Source organism: Homo sapiens, chromosome 7 (genome assembly GCF_000001405.40).
Source record: "Homo sapiens chromosome 7, GRCh38.p14 Primary Assembly".
NCBI lineage: Eukaryota > Metazoa > Chordata > Mammalia > Primates > Hominidae > Homo > Homo sapiens.
The window spans coordinates 97,890,518-97,910,541 of record NC_000007.14 but is presented as its reverse complement, the minus strand read 5'-3'; the positions used below and the strand labels follow the sequence as shown (position 1 = coordinate 97,910,541).

At 41.6% G+C, this 20,024-nt stretch overlaps 1 protein-coding gene, 1 long non-coding RNA gene and 1 pseudogene across 2 annotated transcripts in view; all 3 read left to right on the top strand.

The window, feature by feature from the left end:
• Positions 1–20,024, top strand: part of ASNS (asparagine synthetase (glutamine-hydrolyzing)) — a 76,765-nt gene that overhangs the window by 17,900 nt on the left and 38,841 nt on the right. The gene's annotated exons all lie outside the window — the stretch shown is intronic.
• CZ1P-ASNS (CZ1P-ASNS readthrough) overlaps positions 1–20,024 on the top strand; it is a 120,242-nt gene that overhangs the window by 61,817 nt on the left and 38,401 nt on the right. The window contains exons 6-7 of the long non-coding RNA NR_147989.1: positions 506–636; positions 1,531–1,747. This is a non-coding gene — a long non-coding RNA (CZ1P-ASNS readthrough). The remainder of the gene's footprint in view (positions 1–505; positions 637–1,530; positions 1,748–20,024) is intronic.
• On the top strand, positions 11,398–12,246 carry RPS3AP29 (RPS3A pseudogene 29; annotated as a pseudogene).

Here is a 20,024-nt window from a genome sequence, read left to right as displayed (position 1 = left end):
AGCCCCCTCCTGTGGGGAGGAGGGGGTGCCTTTCAGCGCAGGTTCAAACATTCCCAGGGCTGGCTCTGATCCCAATAAAGCCCATCGTCATGAATGAATGCTTCCCTTGCAGGTTATTCTAAGTATTGTAAATAGTGCACGTGGAGTGTCCTCATGATGCCTGGGATGGTAGTGAATATTTATAGGTTTCTTTTAGTGCCTTTTTAAAAATTATTTTCTATAGTTCCATGTTTCTACAACCCTTAGGAACATCAGAATCATGTGTGTGTGGGTGCTTATTAAATAAACCAGTTCCTGGAGCTCACTCCCAGTGACTGCCAGTCTGATGATTAGGGGCTCAGCTAGGACCTAGGTTTGCAAAAGCTCCCAGCTGATCTCATGCAGCCAGCCTGGCTCTGGCTCTGGCTCTGGGAGCTGGGTTGGGAACTAGTCTTTGGTGCTATTCTGCTGAAACTTCAAGTTGGGCTCTTTGACTCCGTCTTGTATTGTCATCACTTGTATTCAGGTCTGTTCTTCCCCTGGATTGTAAACTCCTTGATGTCTGGGTCATCTCAGCTCATGAGCTGAGCTTTCAGTGGGTGCTCAGTGGAACAGATGCTGAATGGAGTCAGGCTGTAGGGAGGCCAGTGTGTGTTGGTAAGTGAGAGACAAAAATCATTTTAAAAAGAATCTTTTTGCCCTTCAGTTGTGTTTGCCATGAGTTAATGTGATTTACTCTAGTGGAAGCCAGTGCAGCTTAAGTGGAGGTCTTGCCCTGAAATGGAGCCAGGTTATGGATCAGCAGAGCTGCCAAAAGCGTTTTGGGGGAAATGTTTCTGTGTCACCCTCAGTTGATTGAACTCAAGTTTTCACTCCCGTTTAACACCACGTGGGGGCCATTCTGACTTCTGCGGAGTGGGTATGATCAGATCTTCTGTAAAAGTGTAAGTGAGGGGGCTGGGCACGGTGGCTCACACCTGTAATCTTAGCACTTGGGAGGCTGAGATGGGTGGATCACTTGAGGCCGAGAGTTTGAGACAAGCCTGCACGACATGATGAAACCTCATCTCTACTAAAAATACAAAAATTAGCCAGGCATGATGGTGCATGCCTGTAATTCCAGCTACTCAGGAGGCCGAGGCAGGAGAATCACTTGAACCTGGGAGGTGGAGGTTGCAGTGAGCTGAGGTTGCACCACTGCACAGCATTCCAGCCTGGGTGACAGAGCGAGACTCTGTCTCAAAAAAAAAAAAAAAAAAAAAAAAAAAGTGTATGTGAGGAAACTGGAATTGAGCTTGGGGATGTTGGGGGATGGAGGTACTTCATTTACTGAACAACAAAAACCATAGGATACCAATGCTGGAGGAAGAAGCATCATCCTCAGTTTCTACTAACTCAACCACGCATGAGATGGGGACTTGGTGTCCGAGAGAAAAGCTTCTTTTTAGGTCTTCAACCTTGATCAAACCATTTCTGAATTCCTCATACACATATAATCAGGTGCTATGAGTGGTACTGATTGGATAATCTTTCTGTCATTTCCTGTGCTAGGAAGGAAAATACATGTACAGCCAACTTCCTTGAGGGTTCGTTCTTTTGCATCAGGGTGTCTCAAACTGCTGCCCTTAAAACACCTGTAAGAGAATCATCCAGGCGGCTTGCTCACTCTGCATGCAGGCCCTTTAGAATGAGAGTCAGAATCCCTGGGGCTGGAGCCACAAAATGAAATGACATTTCAACGAGTTTGTCATCATGTGAGAGAGAATAGGTGAGTATTTGGATACCTATAATACAAAGTAGATTCAAAAAGAATGACTTGATTATTTTAAATGTTGTGTTTTAAAAAATTTAATACAGAAAAGGCGGGGCGCTGTGACTCATGCCTGTAATCTTAGCACTTTGGGAGGCCAAGGCGGGTGGATCATTTGAGGTCAGGAGTTCAAGACCAGCCTGGCCAACAAGATGAAACCCCATCTCTACTAAAAATATAAAAATTAGCCAGGCAGTAGTGGTGCGTGCCTGTAATCCCAGCTACGGGGGAGACTGAGGCAGGAGAATTGCTTAAGCCTGGGAGGCAGAGATTTGGTGAGCTGAGATCGTACCACTGCACTCCAATGTGGGTGACGATTGTTTAACCACCACCAAAATGGGTTCTGAGTCCAACTATTAATATGAAGATGACATCCATTGTGGTCTTGTACATTTTGTTGCCTTTCCGGGGTGAAGGACATTGGTGACCATTTGTTTCCTCTGGAGCGGTCGATTGGTCATGAACTTCCTGGTCCAGGTAGTTACTGTGTCATTCATGATGGTGGTTGATCCTCAGGTAGTTAGGGAGGAAAATAAACAAGAAGTTATATATTTAAAATCACGTTTCAATTTTAGACCTGATTAATTGACTTAATAAAGGGCATTAGCACTTCTACTTCCTACAGTCCCTCCCTTTAGCTCTGGAAACTAGTTATTTCTAGGTTGTTTTATGTTGTTAAGGTTGACCACCTTCTCTTTCTGTTCTGCAATCATAGTCCTATCACTAGCCTTTTGTCATGGTCATTCAATTCACAAGTTGCTTATTTTTTAATTTCTTGGCTGACTAAATTTTATTATGAAGACTTTTTTTTAAAGAGCTCAAAAATACTGTATTCTTTAAGTTCTTCAGCTTGTGATAGTGTCTTTTGCCTATTTTAATTGGGCAATAATTTAGCTGGCTATAAAATTCTTGGATTATACTCTATTTCCCTTAGAAATTATAGGCACCCATCCACAGACATTTCATTGTGCTTTTTTTTTTTTTGAGATGGAGTCTTGCTCTGTCACCCAGGTTTGAGTGCAGTGGTGCGATCTCGGCTCACTGCAAGCTCTGCCTCCTGGGTTCACACCATTCTCCTTCCTCAGCCTCCCGAGTAGCTGGGACTACAGGCGCCCGCCTCCATGCCTGGCTAACTTTTTTGTATTTTTAGTAGAGATGGGGTTTCACCGTGTTAGCCAGGATGGTCTCGATCTCCTGACCTCATGATCCACCGGCCTTGGGCTCCCAAAGTGCTGGGATTACAGGTGTGAGCCACTGTATGAGCCCAGCCTCATTGTGCTTTGTACTAACCCCCTTTCCCTGGCCTCTTCCGGCTTGTCTTCTCTCCCAGTAGTTTCTTCATGAAGAGGCCATGTGCTATATTCCATGAGATATTTCACACTCAAAGAAGACTTCTTTTATACTCTTTTGATAATTTGTCGGGGAATCACTGTCTTGATTTATAAGGGAGTTTGTAATAAATACAGTAAAAGAGAAACACAACATATTTTGAGACATCAGAGAAGGAAGACACCAATTCTATTAATATTTGGGGTTAGCAGGGAAGGCTTAGTTAAGAGGTAACATTTGAACTAAGCCTTGAAATAAGGGAAGGATTTGGCCACGCAGTAATGGTGAGAGAGTAGAAGCAAGACATGATGGTTAGTGTTATGTATCAATTTGACTGGGTTGTGGGGTGCCCAGATATTTGGTTACACATTATTCTGGGTGTGTCTCTGAGGTATTCTGGATGAGGATAACCCTTAATTGGTAGACTGAATAAAGCAGATTGTCCTCCCCAATGTGGGTGAGCCTCATCCAATCCACTGAAGGCCTGAACAAAACAAAAAGGTAGAGTCACAGAGAATTTGCTCTTTTTACCTGATTATATTTGAGCTGGGATATCAATCTTCTCCTGACTTTAGATGTGGACTCGAGTTGGAACTATATCATTGGCTGTCCTGGGTCTCCAGCTTGCTGGCTGCAGACTCCAGGACTCCTTAGCCTCCATAACCACGTGAGCCATCTCTTACAACAAATCAATCTGTCTCTCTCTATGTGTATAGCTCTACCTCTATCTCTCTGCTCTTTCTCTGGAGAACCTAGAATAATACACAAGGTTATATTAGAGAAGAGGATGACCCAAGGAAAAGCATGGAGGCAGAAAACTGCAAAGAGGGTTTGGGAAGACTGGGGTCCTGATGGGGAGTTTGGATTTCACTGTGTGTAGCATGGAGAATCCTTGAAAATATTCAAGAGGTGAAAATTGTATTTGTGGAAGAACACCAGGAGTATGTGAAAAGATAACCACTCACTCCATTTTAGCTCCACTGAAGGGGGCATCAACTGGATGCACTGGGGACATGGGTTGGAGGGTAGTTGAGGCCATATCTGGAGGATCTTTACTTCTAGGCTGAGTCTGAAGTTATCTTTCTGGGGAGTGGGAGATTACAAATCTTTGAGCTCCACTCAAGAGATGGTTTTGCTAACAATGGCAGGGCGACGGTGGTGGTGGTGGTGGTGGTGGTGGGAAACTGGTAGCATGAATTCTAACTGGGCTTCTGTTATTCTAGCCGAGAAAATTGGGGAATGGACTTTCAGTAGAATAATACAGATCTGGGAATCAACTGCATGGAGGAGGTAGTTATAGGTGATGAGATGTCTCAGGGACAAAGTTTGGTAGAAGGAGAAAAGATACTAGGCTAGTACAAAAATAATTGCTGTTTTTGCCATTACTTTTAATGGCAAAATCGGCAGTTACTTTTGCACCAACCTAAGAGGATGCAAACTTCATAGCCATCTGCATCAGAGGGATTGATGAAGATCAACAAAGTTTAGGAACACAGGAAAGGAGCGGGGAGGGTAATGACTTGAGGGCATAGCAGGGATAATCAAGGTTTTTCTTGTTAGCATGTGGAGACTTAAGCATGATTATATGTTAAACACCTGGCACATATACGGTGCAAAATATTTATGAGTGAAATGACAAGTGAAGGTGGTGAGTCATGGGAGTTCCAAGGGAACGGATGATAAAGGCAGGTCTCAAATGAGGCACAAGTGGAGAAGGTAGCTTGGAAAAGGAGAAGGATGCTTCTCCTTATAACATGGGAAAGGCAGAGGAAGAGGGTCAAGATACAGTGATCTAGGGGTGAGATGGAAGTGAGTTGAGAGAACTCAACTCTGGGCTCTGAAACCCCTAGGGATGGGTGTTGGGGGCTTTGAGATATGGAAGAGGTTTAAAGTCAATTGTTATAGCAAATATGGTTTGGAATTTATTTGTGATACTTAAAAATATTGCTGAACAGAAGTGAAGTCTACCCTAGAGTTGGATGGTGAGATTATTTAGTGGAACTACCAGATCCATGTTGTGATTCCTTCCAGTATCATTCAGCAGCCCTTGGGCAGTTGCGAGGCAAGTCATCAATGGGGTATGGAGATTTTCCAGGTGGGTGTGGTTGAAGAAAGGGAAGAACAAGTTTAGGAGCACATTACAAGAAGAAGGTGACTGTAAGGTCCAGGCTGAGCAGGAAGGTAAAGCAAGAAGGAAACATGAGGTTGTGAAGAGAAGTTTAGAGGGATGAGGAGGCAGGAGAGGTGAACAGTTGCATGATGTAGCTAGAGTGGCGATGTTAGATCTTGGGGCCAGAGATCTTTACAATGATTATGAAGATCAAAGGGCATTAGAATCAAGCTATAAAGAGCCACTGTTTGATGTTGGGATGTGAGGATGCTGCAGGTGGATGTCTGCACATTGATGGTGAGAACATGGTCATCCTGGCCCTGCTGGGTCTTTGCTAAAGAGACTGTGCTCTGTTCTTGGGGCCGTTTTCATCATCTGATTAGAGCAGTGGTCCCCAAATGGTGTTCTTTGGACCATCTGTATAAAATGTTCATAGGTCAAGGATAAAATGGAAAAACAGAGAAAATGTCACAGAAATGTGCCTATTGTTGAAAGACCACCAGCTGTCGTTTTTGGAGGATTGTTCTTTATTCTAAAAATGTATATATTCTATTCTATTAAAACATTTTTGTATTTGCATTTTTTCTCTTTTATGAAATGCCATGGGGTAGAAATTTGTAATGTATCCAATTCTCCTGTCTTCATGCATTGCCCTGTGGTGGGGGAGGGGATGTGGCTAGTACTGGCCAAGAGGCTGGGGGCAGAGGTGCAATGTTAGACTTCTAGCCTGGAGCATTTAATTCTTAGTACAAGACTCTCTAGCATTCTTCTCCCTCTGTTCCCTGCTTGGTGATACTCGAGGTATTGCAACCCCCATTAACCTTAGTCTTAGGGCAAGTTTGATGGGAAACAGAGCACCCCACACCTCCCTGCAGATGTAGCATGAGTGAGAAAAACAACTTCTGATGTTTGAAGTTACCAAGATTTAGGAGTTGTTTGTTATTGCAGCAAAACCTCACCTATTCTGACCAATCATGGTGGAATTTCTCTCTCTCTGTGTGTGTGTGTGTGTGTGTGTGTGTGTGTGTGAAACTGGTAGTTTAAAAAAGTTCCTTCTTACCCAAAAGAAAAAAAGATAGCAACCTTATGTTTGTTCTCAAATTAAAAAAATATTTTTACTCGTTTATAAAATAGAAAAATCTGAGAATCTGTAGCTTAGAGAACTACAGTGTGGGATGTCTATAAAGACCAGGTTATTTTATCAGCTCCTAACACCCCTTAATAGAAGCTTAGCCAAGACTTGCACTACTTCAGTCTTTCCCATTCCACATTCCATGGACTCTTGAAGAGACATTGATTAAACGGTGCAGCCATGAACCACCCTAACTCAATCCTAGTGGCAGAACCCCCCTTTTACTGCAGAATGAGCTTCTTGCTACAGTGATACTGCAACCCCTTAGATATATCCTGTACTAATTATATTAAAACACGACCAATGCTTTTGCTTTGTTGTCCCCCAAATTAAACACATTAATCATGAGAACCCAGAGAATTGGATTTAGTGTAACTGATTCCAAACTGTCAGTAAGAACATAATTAAGTTATATTTTTCTCCAATTCAAGTAAAAGAAAATTGACAATAAAATGCTGATCAATATGTGTAGCTCACGAGGTAGAGCCTGCTTTGAGATGCAGAAGTGTTTGTTTTTTTTAGATCTATATTCTTGAGTAAAGAAAAAGTCCATCTCTCTTTCCTAGAGGGGAAGACTTTCAGAGCTGGGCTTGGCAACAGCCTGACTATCAGAGGCTGAATTAAACAAATAGGTACCTCCCTGGAGTGAATGGTGCGTTTCTCCTGTTCGGGGAACCGTGCTTTTATGGTGGAGTTTGTGTTCTGTCTTGGTCTCCGGATGTGTGTATCTGTGGGTGGATGTCTGCATGTAAATGGCAGTGTATACCTGTGTAGGTGTGTACAAAATTCCCATGTGAATCTCAGCTTTGTGGGGATCTCCGGTTCTTGAGCCCAGTAGATGCCATTTGAAGAAAAAAATCACTTGAAAATGAGACAGAAAGAATGGAAACTAAATCCTAGCTCTAAAGGCACCAGGCTGATTAAAAAAAAAAAAAAAAACTCTGGATCTTCTTTGTTTTGGACTCTACCTACCTCTAAATGACATTTCTGTTTCCTATGAGATGATTAGAATGAAAAAGATCCTGAGCACGAAAGAGCAGATACTGTGTGATAGTGTGTATGTCAGGGTGTCAGCTGTGACACTGCTGACATTTTGGCTCAGCAATTTCTCTGTTCTATGTGTGGGGGTTCCCTGTGCATTTTAGGATGTTGAGCGTCATCCCTGGATCCCTGCACTCACTGGATGCAGTAACACAACTCCCCCCAAGTAGACACAACCCCCAGTGTCTCCAGATATTGCCTAATGTCCCCAGGGGGCAAAATAGCCCCATCTGAGAACTGCTGCTTTCATAAAGTACAATGTCAGGTGAAATAGGTGGAGGCTGTTTGTAGTCAGGGGTTAGTAGAGATGGAAGAGACCCCAGGAATATCCTGGAAGGGTCTGTAATATTTTGTTTCTTGAATTGGGTGTCAGCAATATGGAGATGTTCAGTTTTTTGTTGTTGTTGTTGTTGTTGTTTTGAGGCAGGATCTTTCTCTGTCACCCAGGCTGGAGCACAGTGGCACCATCATGGCTCACTGCAGCCTCTGCCTCCTGGGCTCCAGCAGTCCTCCCACCTCAGCCCTCCCGAGTAGCTGGGACTACAGGCATGTGCCACCACTGTTGCCTAATTTTTTATTTATTTATTTTTTGTAGAGAGGAGTGTCTCACTATGTTGCCCAGGCTGGTCTCAAGCTCCTGGGCTCAAGCAATCTGCTCATCTCGGCCTCCCAAAATGCTGGGATGACAGGCATGAGCCACTGCGTCTGGCCAGTATGTTCAGTTTGTAAGAAAAGTACTGTGTTGACCTCTTCTATGTGCACATTTCTTTAAGTAATAATTCAATAAAGCATTTAGAAAAATTGGTCGTAATAGGAGTGATTTGTAGAGTGATTGGCATGAAAGCTGATCACCTTAATTTGAACTACTCTGAAATGAGCACCAGGGGCCACCAAGAGGACCCTTTCAAGGTGTCATAGCCAAGGAGAGGAGTGTGTTGTTTACATCTCTGCATAAAGGATTTGCTGGTTACATGGAAGGATGAAGCCTCCTTCTGAGGACAGAGGCAGCAAAGCAAGTGGAAGCCCAAAGCATTGAGCTTTCCAAATGGACTTTGCTGAAATCTTGTGGATGACTCATGCTCTTAACATACACCCATGTACATATTGTCCATATACACATTAATTCTGTAACAAGGCCCACACTTAAGGGTTTTTTTTTTCTTTTGAGACAGTCTTGCTTTATTGCCCAGGCTAGAGTACAGTGGCATAATAGTGACTCACTGCAACCTCCACCTCCTGGGTTCAAGCAATGCTTGTGCCTCAGCCACCTGAGTAGCTGGGACTACAGGTGCACAACATCATGTCTGGCTAATTTTTGTATTTTTAGTAGAGACGGGGTTTCACCATGTTGGCCAGGCTGGTCTCAAACTCCTGGCCTCAAGTGATCTGCCCACCTCAGCCTCCTAAAGTGTTGGGATTACAGGTGTGAGCCACTGCGCCTGGGCCCACACATAAGGTTTGAGTTGAGATAGAGAAACTCTGGCAGGACTGAGGAATTGGGCCACAGTCTGTGGGAAATATGCACAATTTCTGGAATCTTCTATACTTCCAGAGTTCTCACTCTCTGTCTCCTGTTTATTCAACAAACTTGTATGGAACCACAGTGTGTCTAGAACTTGCCAGGTGTGGAGGATAAAAAGATGACTGAGATCGGGCATGGTGGCTCATGCCTGTAATGCCAGCACTTTGGGAGGCCAAGGCAGGCGGATCACTTGAGGGCAGGAGTTTGAGCACAGCCTGGCCAACATGATGAAACGTCTCTACTAAAAATACAAAAATTAGCCAGGCATGGTGGCATGCACATGTAGTCCCATCTACTTGGGAAGCTGAGGCAGGAGAATCGCTTGAACCCAGGAGGCAGATGTTGCAGTGAGCTGAGATCACATCGCTGCATTCCAGCCTGGGAGACAGAGCGAGATTCCATGTCAAAAAAAAAGATGACTGAGATACAGACTCCCTCAGAGTTGACTCTAACACAAATTAGGTAAGAGCCCAAGGTCTGGCTGGGCCAGCACCTTGATCGGCCTCATCCTGCAGCGTCTACTAGAATGAAGAACACTTTTTTCTTTACCCATGAAAATGTTTTGTGCTTCATACCCACAAGTGCAATTTGTGTTAATTCTGCAAAATTTGCCATATAACTGTGCCTGTATTCTTAGCATTTTTCCTTTGAGAGATTTCTCAGCATATCATCTTTGGACTATGTGGAATTGGAAATTTACTTAGAGTCAACAACAAGTACAGGAAAGTCAGTTCTTAAGAGTTAGGTTTTCAAAGACAGTGGATAAAATAAAAAATCTAGTACAGTCAAGATTATACGTGCAAATCCCCTCATCATTCATAAAGTTTAGCAGTCAGTCTTACCGTGGCTCACCAGGTCCAATCCATACTTCTTCCTCCACGATTGGAGCAGAGGGTGATTTTTTTTCTGAGCAACTGATGAAGTCATTTAGAGACCATTTGCAGTAGGAGCCATGTGTACTAGAGACCAATCAATGTGCCCTCATGGCAGCATTTCTGCCTCTCTCCCTCTTTGTTCTTGCCAAGTACCCACAGTTCATTTTCCATAGATTGAAAGAGCCCAAGTTGGGCCTATATCTAGGAGTACAATTGCTGGGTCATTTGGCAACTCTATGTAGAATTGTTTGGGAAGTTGTTAAACTGTTTCTCACAGTGGCTACACCATTTTAATTCCTACCAGCAGTGTATGAAGGTTCTAATTTCTCTGCATCCTCACCAAAACTTGTTATTTTCTGTTTTTTTTTTTTTTTTTTTTTTTTGAGACAAAGTCTTGCTCCATCACCCAGGCTGGAGTGCAGTGGCACAATCTCAGCTCACTGCAACCTCTGCCTCCAGATTCAAGTTACTCTCCTGCCTCAGCCTCCCGAGTAGCTGGGATTATAGGCACCTGCCACCATGCCTGGCTAATTTTTGTATTTTTTTAGTACAGACAGGGTTTCACCATGTTGGCCAGGCTGGTCTCACACTCCTGGCCTCAGGTGATCCACCTGCCTCGGTCTCCCAAAGTGCTGGGATTACAGGCTTGAGCCACTGCACCAGGCCAATTTTCTCTATCTTCGATTCTAGCCATGCTTATGGGTATGAAGTGGTATCTCATTGTGGTTTTGATTTCTGTTTCCCTGATGATGAATTTCATTGAGCATCTTTTCATGTGCTTATTGGCCACTTGTATGTCTTCCTTGGAGATGCGCAATATTTTCATATTCAAAAATGAAAGCACAGGTCCACACAAAATTTTGTACATGAATAATTACAGTAGCATCACTCCTAATAACCCAAAGAGAGAGTTAATCCAAATGCCCATCACCAGATGAAGAGATACACCTATTGTTGTCTACCCACATGGTGGAATATTATTTGATCACAAAAAGGAGGAAAGTACATACGCTACAGCGTGGATGAACCTTCAAAACAGATGAAAGATCACATTCTACATGATTTCATTCAGATGGAAGTCTATAGAAATAGGAAGTCGATTAGTGGTTGCTTAGGGCTGGTAGGGGCATGGGAGGATGGGGGTGTTAGCTAAAGCGTATGAGGTTTCTTTTTGAGGTCATGAAATGTTCTAAAATTGACTGGTAATGTTTGTGTACATCTCTGAATATATTAAAAACCATTGAAATGTAAAAAATGCAAAGAAAAGCAGCCCAAGTTGCAATTTTATTCAACACTTGATTGGCTTTAAAAATAGATTCCAGGCTGGGCATGGTGGCTTACACCTGAAATCCCAGTGCTTTGGGAGGCTGTGGTGGGAGGATTTCTTGAGGCCAGGAGTTCCAGGCCAGCCTTGGCAACATGGCAAGACCCTGTGTGTACAAAAAAAGAAAAAATAAATAACAGCTGGGTGCAGTGGCTCACATCTGTAATCGCAGCACTTTGGGAGGCTGAGGCGGGCAGATCACCTGACATCAGGAGTTTAAGAGCAGCTTGGCCAACATCGTGAAATCCCGTCTCTACCAAAAATATAAAATTTAGCCTTTTGGTACTCCGAGCAGCACCATGGCAGTTGTTAAGAACAAGTGCCTTATGAAAGGTGGCAAAAAGGGAGTTAAGAAGAAAGTAGTTGGTCCATTCTCTAAGAAAGATCAGTATGATGTGAAAGCACCTCCTATGTTCAATATAAGAAATATTGGAAAGACTTGGTCGCCAGGACCCAAGGAACCCAAATTGCATCTGATGGTCTCAAGGGTCTTGTGTTTGAAGTGAGTCTTGCTGACTTGCAGAATGATGAAGTTGCATTTAGAAAATTCAAGCTGATTACTGAAGATGTTCAGGACAAAAACTGCCTGACTAACTTCTATGGCATGGATCTTACCTGTGACAAAATATGTTCCATGGTTGAAAAATGTTCAACAATGATTGAAGCTCATGTTGATGTCAAGACTACCGATGGTTACTTCTTTCATCTGTTTTGTGTTGGTTTTACTAAAAAACACAACAATCAGATACTGAAGACCTCTTATGCTCAGCACCATCAGTCTGCCAAATCCAGAAGAAGATGATGGGAATCATGACCTGAGAGATGCAGACAAATGACTTGAAAGAAGTGGTCAATAAATTGATTCCAGACAACATTGGAAAAGATATAGAAAAGGCTTGCCAATTTATCCTCTCCATGATGTCTTCATTAGAAAAGTAAAAATGCTGGAGAACCCTGGATTTGAAAGGCATGGAGCTTCGTGGTGAAGGTAGTAGTTCTGGAAAACCCACTAGGGACGAGACACATGCTAAAGTTGAATGAGCTGATGGATATGAACCACCAGTCCAAGAATCTGTTTAAAGTTCAGACTTAAAACAGTAGCAAATAAGAAGTCCTATTTGTGAAAAACAAACAAGAAACAACAATGAAAGAGCAAAATTAGCCTGGTGTGGTGGTGCATGCCTGTAATCCTAGCTACTCAGGAGGCTGAGGCATGAGAATCACTTGAACGCGGGAGACAGAGGTTGCAGTGAGCCAAGATTGCACCATTGCACTCCAGCCTGGGCAACAGAGTGAGACTCTCTCCAAAAAGAAGAAAAAAAAAAGTATCCGCGCTTGGTGGCATGCGCCTGTAGTCTCAGCTACTCTGAAGGCTGAGATGGGAGGATGGATTGAGGCCAGGAGTAATTTGAGGCTGCAGTGAACTATGATTGTGACACTGCACTCCAGCCTGGACTGCAATGACAGCTGAAAATGACAGGATTTCATTCTTTTTTATGGCTGAATACTATTCTATTGTGTGTATATTCCCATTTTCTTTATCCATTCATCCATTGATTGACACTTAGATTGATTCCATATCTTGGCTATTGTAAATAGTGCTGCAGTAAATATGGGGGTACAGATATCCCGTTGATACACTGATATCTTTTTTTGGATATATACCCAGGAGTGGGATTGCTGCATCATATGGTAGATCTGTTCTTAGTTTTTTGAGAAATCTCTGTACTTTTTTTCATAATGGCTGTACTAATTTACATTCCCACCAACAATATACAATAATTTTCTTTTCTTCACATGCTTGCCAGCATTTGTTGTGCTTTGTCTTTTTAATACCCATTCTAACAAGTGTGTGATGATATCTCATTGTGGTTTTGATTTGCATTTCCGTGATGATTAGTGATGTTGAATATTTTTTCATAAACTTGGTGATTTGTATATTTTCTTTTGAGAAATGTCTGTTTATTTTTTGATAGTTTCTTTTGTTGTGCAGAAGCTCTTTCATTTAATTAGATCCCATTTGTCAATTTTTGCTTTTGTGGCAATTGCGTTTGGCATCTTCACCATGAACTCTTTGCCCATCACTACGTACCGGATGGTATTGCCTAGGTTGTCTTCAGCGTTTTTATAGTTATGGGTTTTACATTTAAGTCTGTAGGCCATCTTGAGTTAATTTTTGTGTATGGTGTAAGGGAGGGGTGTTGTCTTTTCACTCTGTTGATTGTTTTCTTTGATACGCAGAAGGTATTTAGTTTAATATAATCCCATTTGTCTGTTTTTGTTGCTTGTACTTTTAAGTGTTAGCGATACAATCTTTGTTCTCAAGAGTTTCTCCTGTGTTTATTTCTAGTAGTTTTATAGTTGTGGCTGTTACATTTAAGTCTTTAATTGATTTTGAGTTTATTTTTGTAAGTGATGAGAGATAAGGGTCTAGTTTTATTCTTCTCTGTTTGGATATCTAGTTTTCCTGGCACCATTTAATGAAGAGGGTGGGGTGTCCTTTATTCAATGTATGTTCTTGACAGCTTTCTTGAAAATCAGTTAGCTGTAAATATGTGGATTCATTTCTGGATTCTTTAGTCTGTTTCCTTTGTTTTTGTGTCTGTTTTAATACCAATACACGCTGTTTTGGTTACTATAGCTTTGCAGTATATATATATATATATATATATATATATGTGTGTGTGTGTGTGTGTGTGTGTGTGTGTATATATATACACATATATACATATATATATACACACACACATATACATATATACGTATATATACACATATATATATATATACATATATATATGTGGTTTTTTTTTTTTTCTTTTTGAGATGGAGTCTTGCTCTGTCGCCGAGGCTGGAGTGCAGTGGCGTGATCTCTGCTCACTGCAAGCTCTTCCTCCCGGGTTCATGCCATTCTCCTGCCTCAGCCTCCTGAGTAGCTGCTGGGACTACAGATGCCCACCACCACGCCTGGCTAATTTTTTGTTTTTTTTTTTTTAGTAGAGACGGGGTTTCACCGTGTTAGCCAGGATGGTCTCGATCTCCTGACCTTGTGATCCACCCGCCTTGGCCTCCCAAAGTGCTGGGATATAGGCTTGAGCCACCTCGCCCGGCCTCTTTGCAGTATATTTTTAAATCAGGTAGTGTGAGGCTTCTAGCTTTGTTCTTTTTGCTCAGTATTGCTCTGGCTATTTGGGGTCTTCTGTGGTTCCATATGAATTTCAGGGTATTTTTTTCCTGTTTCTGTGAAGAATATAATTAATAGGGATTATACTGAATCTCTAGATTGCTTCAGGTAGTATGGTCATTTTAACAGTATTAGTTATTCCAACCCACAAGCATAAGATGCCTTTCCATTTGTTTGTGTCCTTCTCAATTTATTTTATCAGCGTTTTGTGGTTTTCATTGTAGAGGTTTTTTGTTTTTTTTTTTTTCCTCATCCTTGGTTAAGTTTATTCCTAGGTATTTTATTTTTGTAGCTATTGTAAATAGAATTTCTTCCTTGATTTCTATTTTAGCTAGTTTGTTACTGGTATATAGAAACATTACTGATTTTTGTATGTTGATTTTGTGTCCTGAAGCTTTACTGAATTATACATCCGTTTTTAAAAATGTTTTTTATTTTTTATTTTTTGAGAGAGTCTCACTCTGTTTTCCAGGCTGGAGTGCGGTAGTGCAATCTTGGCTCACTGCAACCTCCACCTCTCGGGTTCAAGCGATTCTCCTGCTTCAGCCTCCCAAGTAGCTGGGATTACAGGCACCTACCACCATGCCTGGCTAATTGTATTTTTGGTAGAGACAGGGTTTCACCATGTTGGCCACGCTGGTCTCAAACTCCCAACCTCAGGTGATCCGTCCACCTTGGCCTCCCAAAGTGCTGGGATTACAGGCATGAGCTACCATGCCCAGCCTAATTTATTTTAAGAGTTTTTTGGTAGAGTCTTTAGGTTTTTCTGTTTACAGGTATAAGATTATGTCATTTGCAAAGTGAGACAATTTGACCTCCTTTTGTCCATTTGGATGCCTTTTATTTCTTTATCTTGTCTGATCACTCTGGCTTGGATGTCCCATACTGTGTTGAATAAGAGTGGTGAAAGTGGACATCCTTGTCTTGTTCCAGTTCTTAGAGGAAAGGCTTTTCAATTTTTCCCAGTGAGTAGGATGTTAGCTGTAGATTTGTCACATATGCCTTTTCTTAGGTTGAAGTGTTCCTTGTATGCATAATTTGTTGAGAGTTTTCATCATGAAGGAATGGTAAGTTTTACTGAGTGATTTTTCTGCATCTGCTGAGATGATCAGATAGTTTTTGCCTTTCATCTTGTTGATGTGATGTATCACATGTATTGATTTGTGTATGTTGAGCCATCTTTGCATTCCTGGGATAAATCCCACTTGATCATGGTATATTATCTTTTTCATTCCTCATTAGATTTGGCTTGGTAGTATTATGCTGAGAATTTTACCATCTATGTTCATTAGGAATATTGGCCTGTAGTTTTCTCCTTTTGTTGCGTCCTTGTCTTGATTGGATATCAGGGTAATGCTGGCCTTATACAATGAGTTAGGAAGAATTCCTTCCTCTTCAATTTTTGGGAATAGTTTGAGAAGAATTGGTGTTTGTTTTTCTTTATAAATTGGGTAGAAATCAGCATAAAAGCCTAGTCTAGGGCTTTTCTCTTTTGGGAGACTTTATGTTACTGAGTCAAACCTGCTATTCATTTTGGGTCAGTTCAGGTTTTCTGTTTCTTCCTAGTTCAATCTTGGTAGGCTGTGTATGTCTGGGAATTTATCCCTTTCCTCTAGGTTTTCCAATTTGTTAGCCTATGGTTGTTCATAATAGCCTCTAATGATCCTTTTTATTTCTTTGGTAACAGTTGTAATGTCTCCTTTTTCATTTCTGATTGTATTTATTTGGGTCTTTTTTTTTTTTTTTTTTTTTTTTGGTTAGCCTCACTAGTGGTTTATCAATTTTGTTTAACTTTTCAAAAAACCAACTTTTATCTTGTTGATTCTTTGCATTTCTTTTTTGTCTCTGTTGCATTTGGTTCTGCTATGTTATTTATATTTTTTCTTTCTACTAATTGTGTGTTTGATTTGTTCTTGCATTTTGAGTTCCTTGAGGTGCATCATTAGGTCGTTTATTTGAAATCTTTCTACTTTTTTGGTGTAGGCATTTATTGATATAAACTTTTCTCCTAGTACTGCTTTTGTTGTATCCCATAGGTTTTGCATGATGTGTTTCCATTTTCTGTTTAAAAAAAATTTTTGATGTCCATCTTAATTTCTTCATTGACCCAATGATTATTCAATAGCATGTTTAATGTCCATGTATTTGTACAGTTTCCAAATTTCTTCTTCTTATTGATTTCAAGTTTTATTCCATTGTGGTCTGAGAAGATACTTGATATGATTTTAATTTTTAAAATTTTATTGAGCCTTGTTCTGTGTCCTAACATATGGTCTATCCTGGAGAATGTTCCATGTGTTGATGAGATGATTGTATATTCTGCTGCTGCTGGATGAAATATTCTGAAAATATCTGTTAGGTCCATTTGGTCTAAAGTGCAGCTTAAATCAATGTTTCTTTGTTGATTTTATGTCTAGATGAACTGTCCAATGCTGAGAGTAGGATATTGAAGTTCTCAACTATCATTGTATTGGACTCTATCTCTCCATGTAGATTTAATAATATTTGCTCTATGTCTCTGGATGTGCTTGTGTTGGTTGCATGCATATTTGGAATTGTTATACTTTGTTGCTGAATTGATCCCTTTATTACCATATAATGACCTTCTTTGTCCTTTTTACAGTTTTTGACTTAAAGTCTGTTTTATCTGATGTAAGTTTAGCTACTCCTGATTATTTTTGATTTCTGTTTGTGTGGTATATCTTTTTCCATCCCTTCACTTTCAGTCTGTGTGTGTCTTTACAAGTGAAGTGAGTTTCTTGTAGACGTTGTTGGGTCATTTTTTATCCATTAAGCCTGTCTCTATCTTTTAGGTAGGTAATTTAACCCATATTCGAAGTTATTATTGATAGGTGAGGACTTATTCCTGTCATTTTGTTCATTGTTTTCTGGTTATTTTGTATATCCTTTTGATATGGTTTGGCTGTGTCCCCACTCAGATCTCATCTTGAATTCCCATGTGTTGTGGGAGGGATCCAGTGGGAAGTAGTTGAATCATGGAGGCAGGTATTTCCCATGCTATTCTTTTAATAGTGAATAAGTCTCATGAGATCTGATGGTTTTAAAAGGAGGAGTTTCCCTGCTCAAGCTCTCTCTTTGCCTGCTGCCATCCCTGTAAGATGTGACTTGCCTCTCCTTGACTTCCGCAATGATTTTGAAGCCTCCCCAGCAATGTAGAACTGTAAGTCCATTAAACCTCTTTCTTTTGTAAATTTCCCAGTCTTGAATGTGTCTTTATCAGCTGTGTGAAAATGGACTAATACAGTAAATTAGTACCAGAAGTGGGGTGTTGCTAAAAGATACCTGAATATGTGGAAGTGACTTTGGAACTGGGAAACAGGCAGAGGCTGGAACAGTTTGGAGGGCTCAGAAGGAGACAGGAAAATGTGGGAAAATTTGGAAGAGATTTCCTAGAGACTTGCCCAAAATGCTGATGGTTATATGGACAATAAAGTCTAGGCTTAGGTTGTCTCAGATGGAAATGAGGAACTTGTTAGGAACTGGCACAATGGTGACTCCTGTTATGTTTTAGCAAAGAGACTGGTGGCTTTTTGCCCCTGCTGTAGAGATTTGTGGAATTTTGAACTTGAGAGATTTAGGGTATCTGATAGGGTATTTGAACTTGAGATTTAGGGTATCTGATAGAAGAAATTTCTAAGCAGCAAAGCATTCAAGAGATGACTTGGGTGCTGTTAAAGGCCTTCAGTTTTATAAGGGAAGCAGAGCATGAAAGTTTGGAAAATCTGCAGCCTGACAATGCAATAGAAAAGAAAATCCCATTTTCTCAAGAAAAATTCGATCTGGCTGCAGAAGTTTCTTTAAGTAACTAGAGTCAAATGTGAATCCCCAAGACAATGGGGAAAATGTCTCCAGGGCATGTCACAGGTCTTCATGGCAGCCCCTCCCATCAAAGGTCCAGAGGCCTAGGAAGAAAAGATGGTTTTGTGGCCTGGACCCAGGGACCCATGTTGTGAGCAGCCTAGGGTGCCTGAGTCCTAGCCACTCCAGCTGCAGCTAAAAGGAGCCAAGGTACAACGTGGGCTATGGCTTCAGAGGGTGCAAGCCCCAAGCCTTAGCAGCTTCCACATAGTGTTGAGCCTGTGGGTGCACAGAAGTCAAAAATTGAGGTTTGGGAACTGCTGCCTAGATTTCAGAAGGTGTATGGAAATGCCTAGATATCCAGGCAGGAGTTTGCTGCAGGGGCAGGGCACTCATGGAGAACCTCTACTAGGGCAGTGCAGAAGGGAAATGTGGGGTCGGAGCCCCCACATAGAGTCCCTACTGCAGCGCCACCTAGTGGAGCTGTGAGAAGAGGGCCACCATCCTCCAGACCTCGGAATGGTGGATTCACTGACAGCTTGCACTGTGTGCCTGGAAAAGCTGCAGACACTCAATGCCAACCCGTGAAAGGAGCCAGGAGGGGGTTTAAACCCACAGGAGTGGAGCTGTGGCCTTTTTTCTCCCAAGGCCATGGGAGCCCACCTCTTACATCAGCATGACCTGCATGTGAGACATGGAATCAAAGGAGATCATTTTGGAGCTTTGAGATTTGACTGCCCCACTGGATTTTGGGCTTGCATGGGTCCTGTAGCCCCTTTGTTTTGACAATTTTCTGCCATTTGGAATGACTGTGTTTACCCAATGCCTATACCCCCATTGTATCTAGGAAGTAACTAACTTGTTTTTGATTTTACATGCTCATAGGCAGAAGGGATTTGCCTTGTCTCACATGAGACTTTGGACTGTGGACTTTTGAGTTAATGCTGAACTTAGTTAAGACTTTGGGGGACTGTTGGGAAGGCATGATTGGTTTTGAAATGTGAGGATATGAGATTTGGGAAGGGCCAGGGGCAGAATGATACAGTTTGGTTGTGTCCCCACCCAAGTCTCATCTTGAATTCCCACATGTTGTGGGAGGGACCTGGTGGGAAGTAATTGAGTCATGGGGGCAGGTCTTTCCCATGCTGTTCTCATGATAGTGAATACGTCTCACAAGGTGTGATGGTTTTGAAAAGGGTAGTTTCTCTGCAGAAGCTCTATCTTTGATTGCTGCCATCCATGTGAGACATGACTTGCTTCTTCTTGCCTTCCAACGTGATTCTTAGGCTTCCTCAGCTATGTGGAAGTGTAAGTCCATTAAACCTCTTTCTTTTGTAAATTGCCCAGTCTCAGTCAGGTATGTCTTTATCAGCAGTGTGAAAACAGACTAATACACCTTTGTTCCTTTTTTCTCTCATTATTTATGGTTGCAGTTTGGTGGGTTTCTTTAGTGGTGATGTTTGAATCCTTTCTTCTTTGTGTGTCTGAACTACTAGTGAGTTTTATACTTTCATGTATTTTCATGATGGTAGATATTGTTCTTTTGCTTCCCAATGTAGGACTCCCTTAAACATTTCTTGTAGGACCACAACAAACAAGACACAAACAAACAGTCTTTTGCTTATCTGGGAAATACTTTTTTCTCTTTTATTATTACTATTTTTTTTTTAGCAATGGAGTCTCACTCTGCCACCCAGGCTGGAGTACAGTGGCATGATCATAGCTCACTGCAGCCTTGAACTCCTGGGATCAAATGGTCCTCCTGCCTCAGCCTTTTGAGTCTCTGGAATTGCAGATGTGAGCCACTGTGCCAGGCTTCTTCATTTGTGAAGGATAGCTTTGCTGGATATAGTATTTTTGGCTTACATTTTTTTATTTTTATTTTACTTGTAGTATACA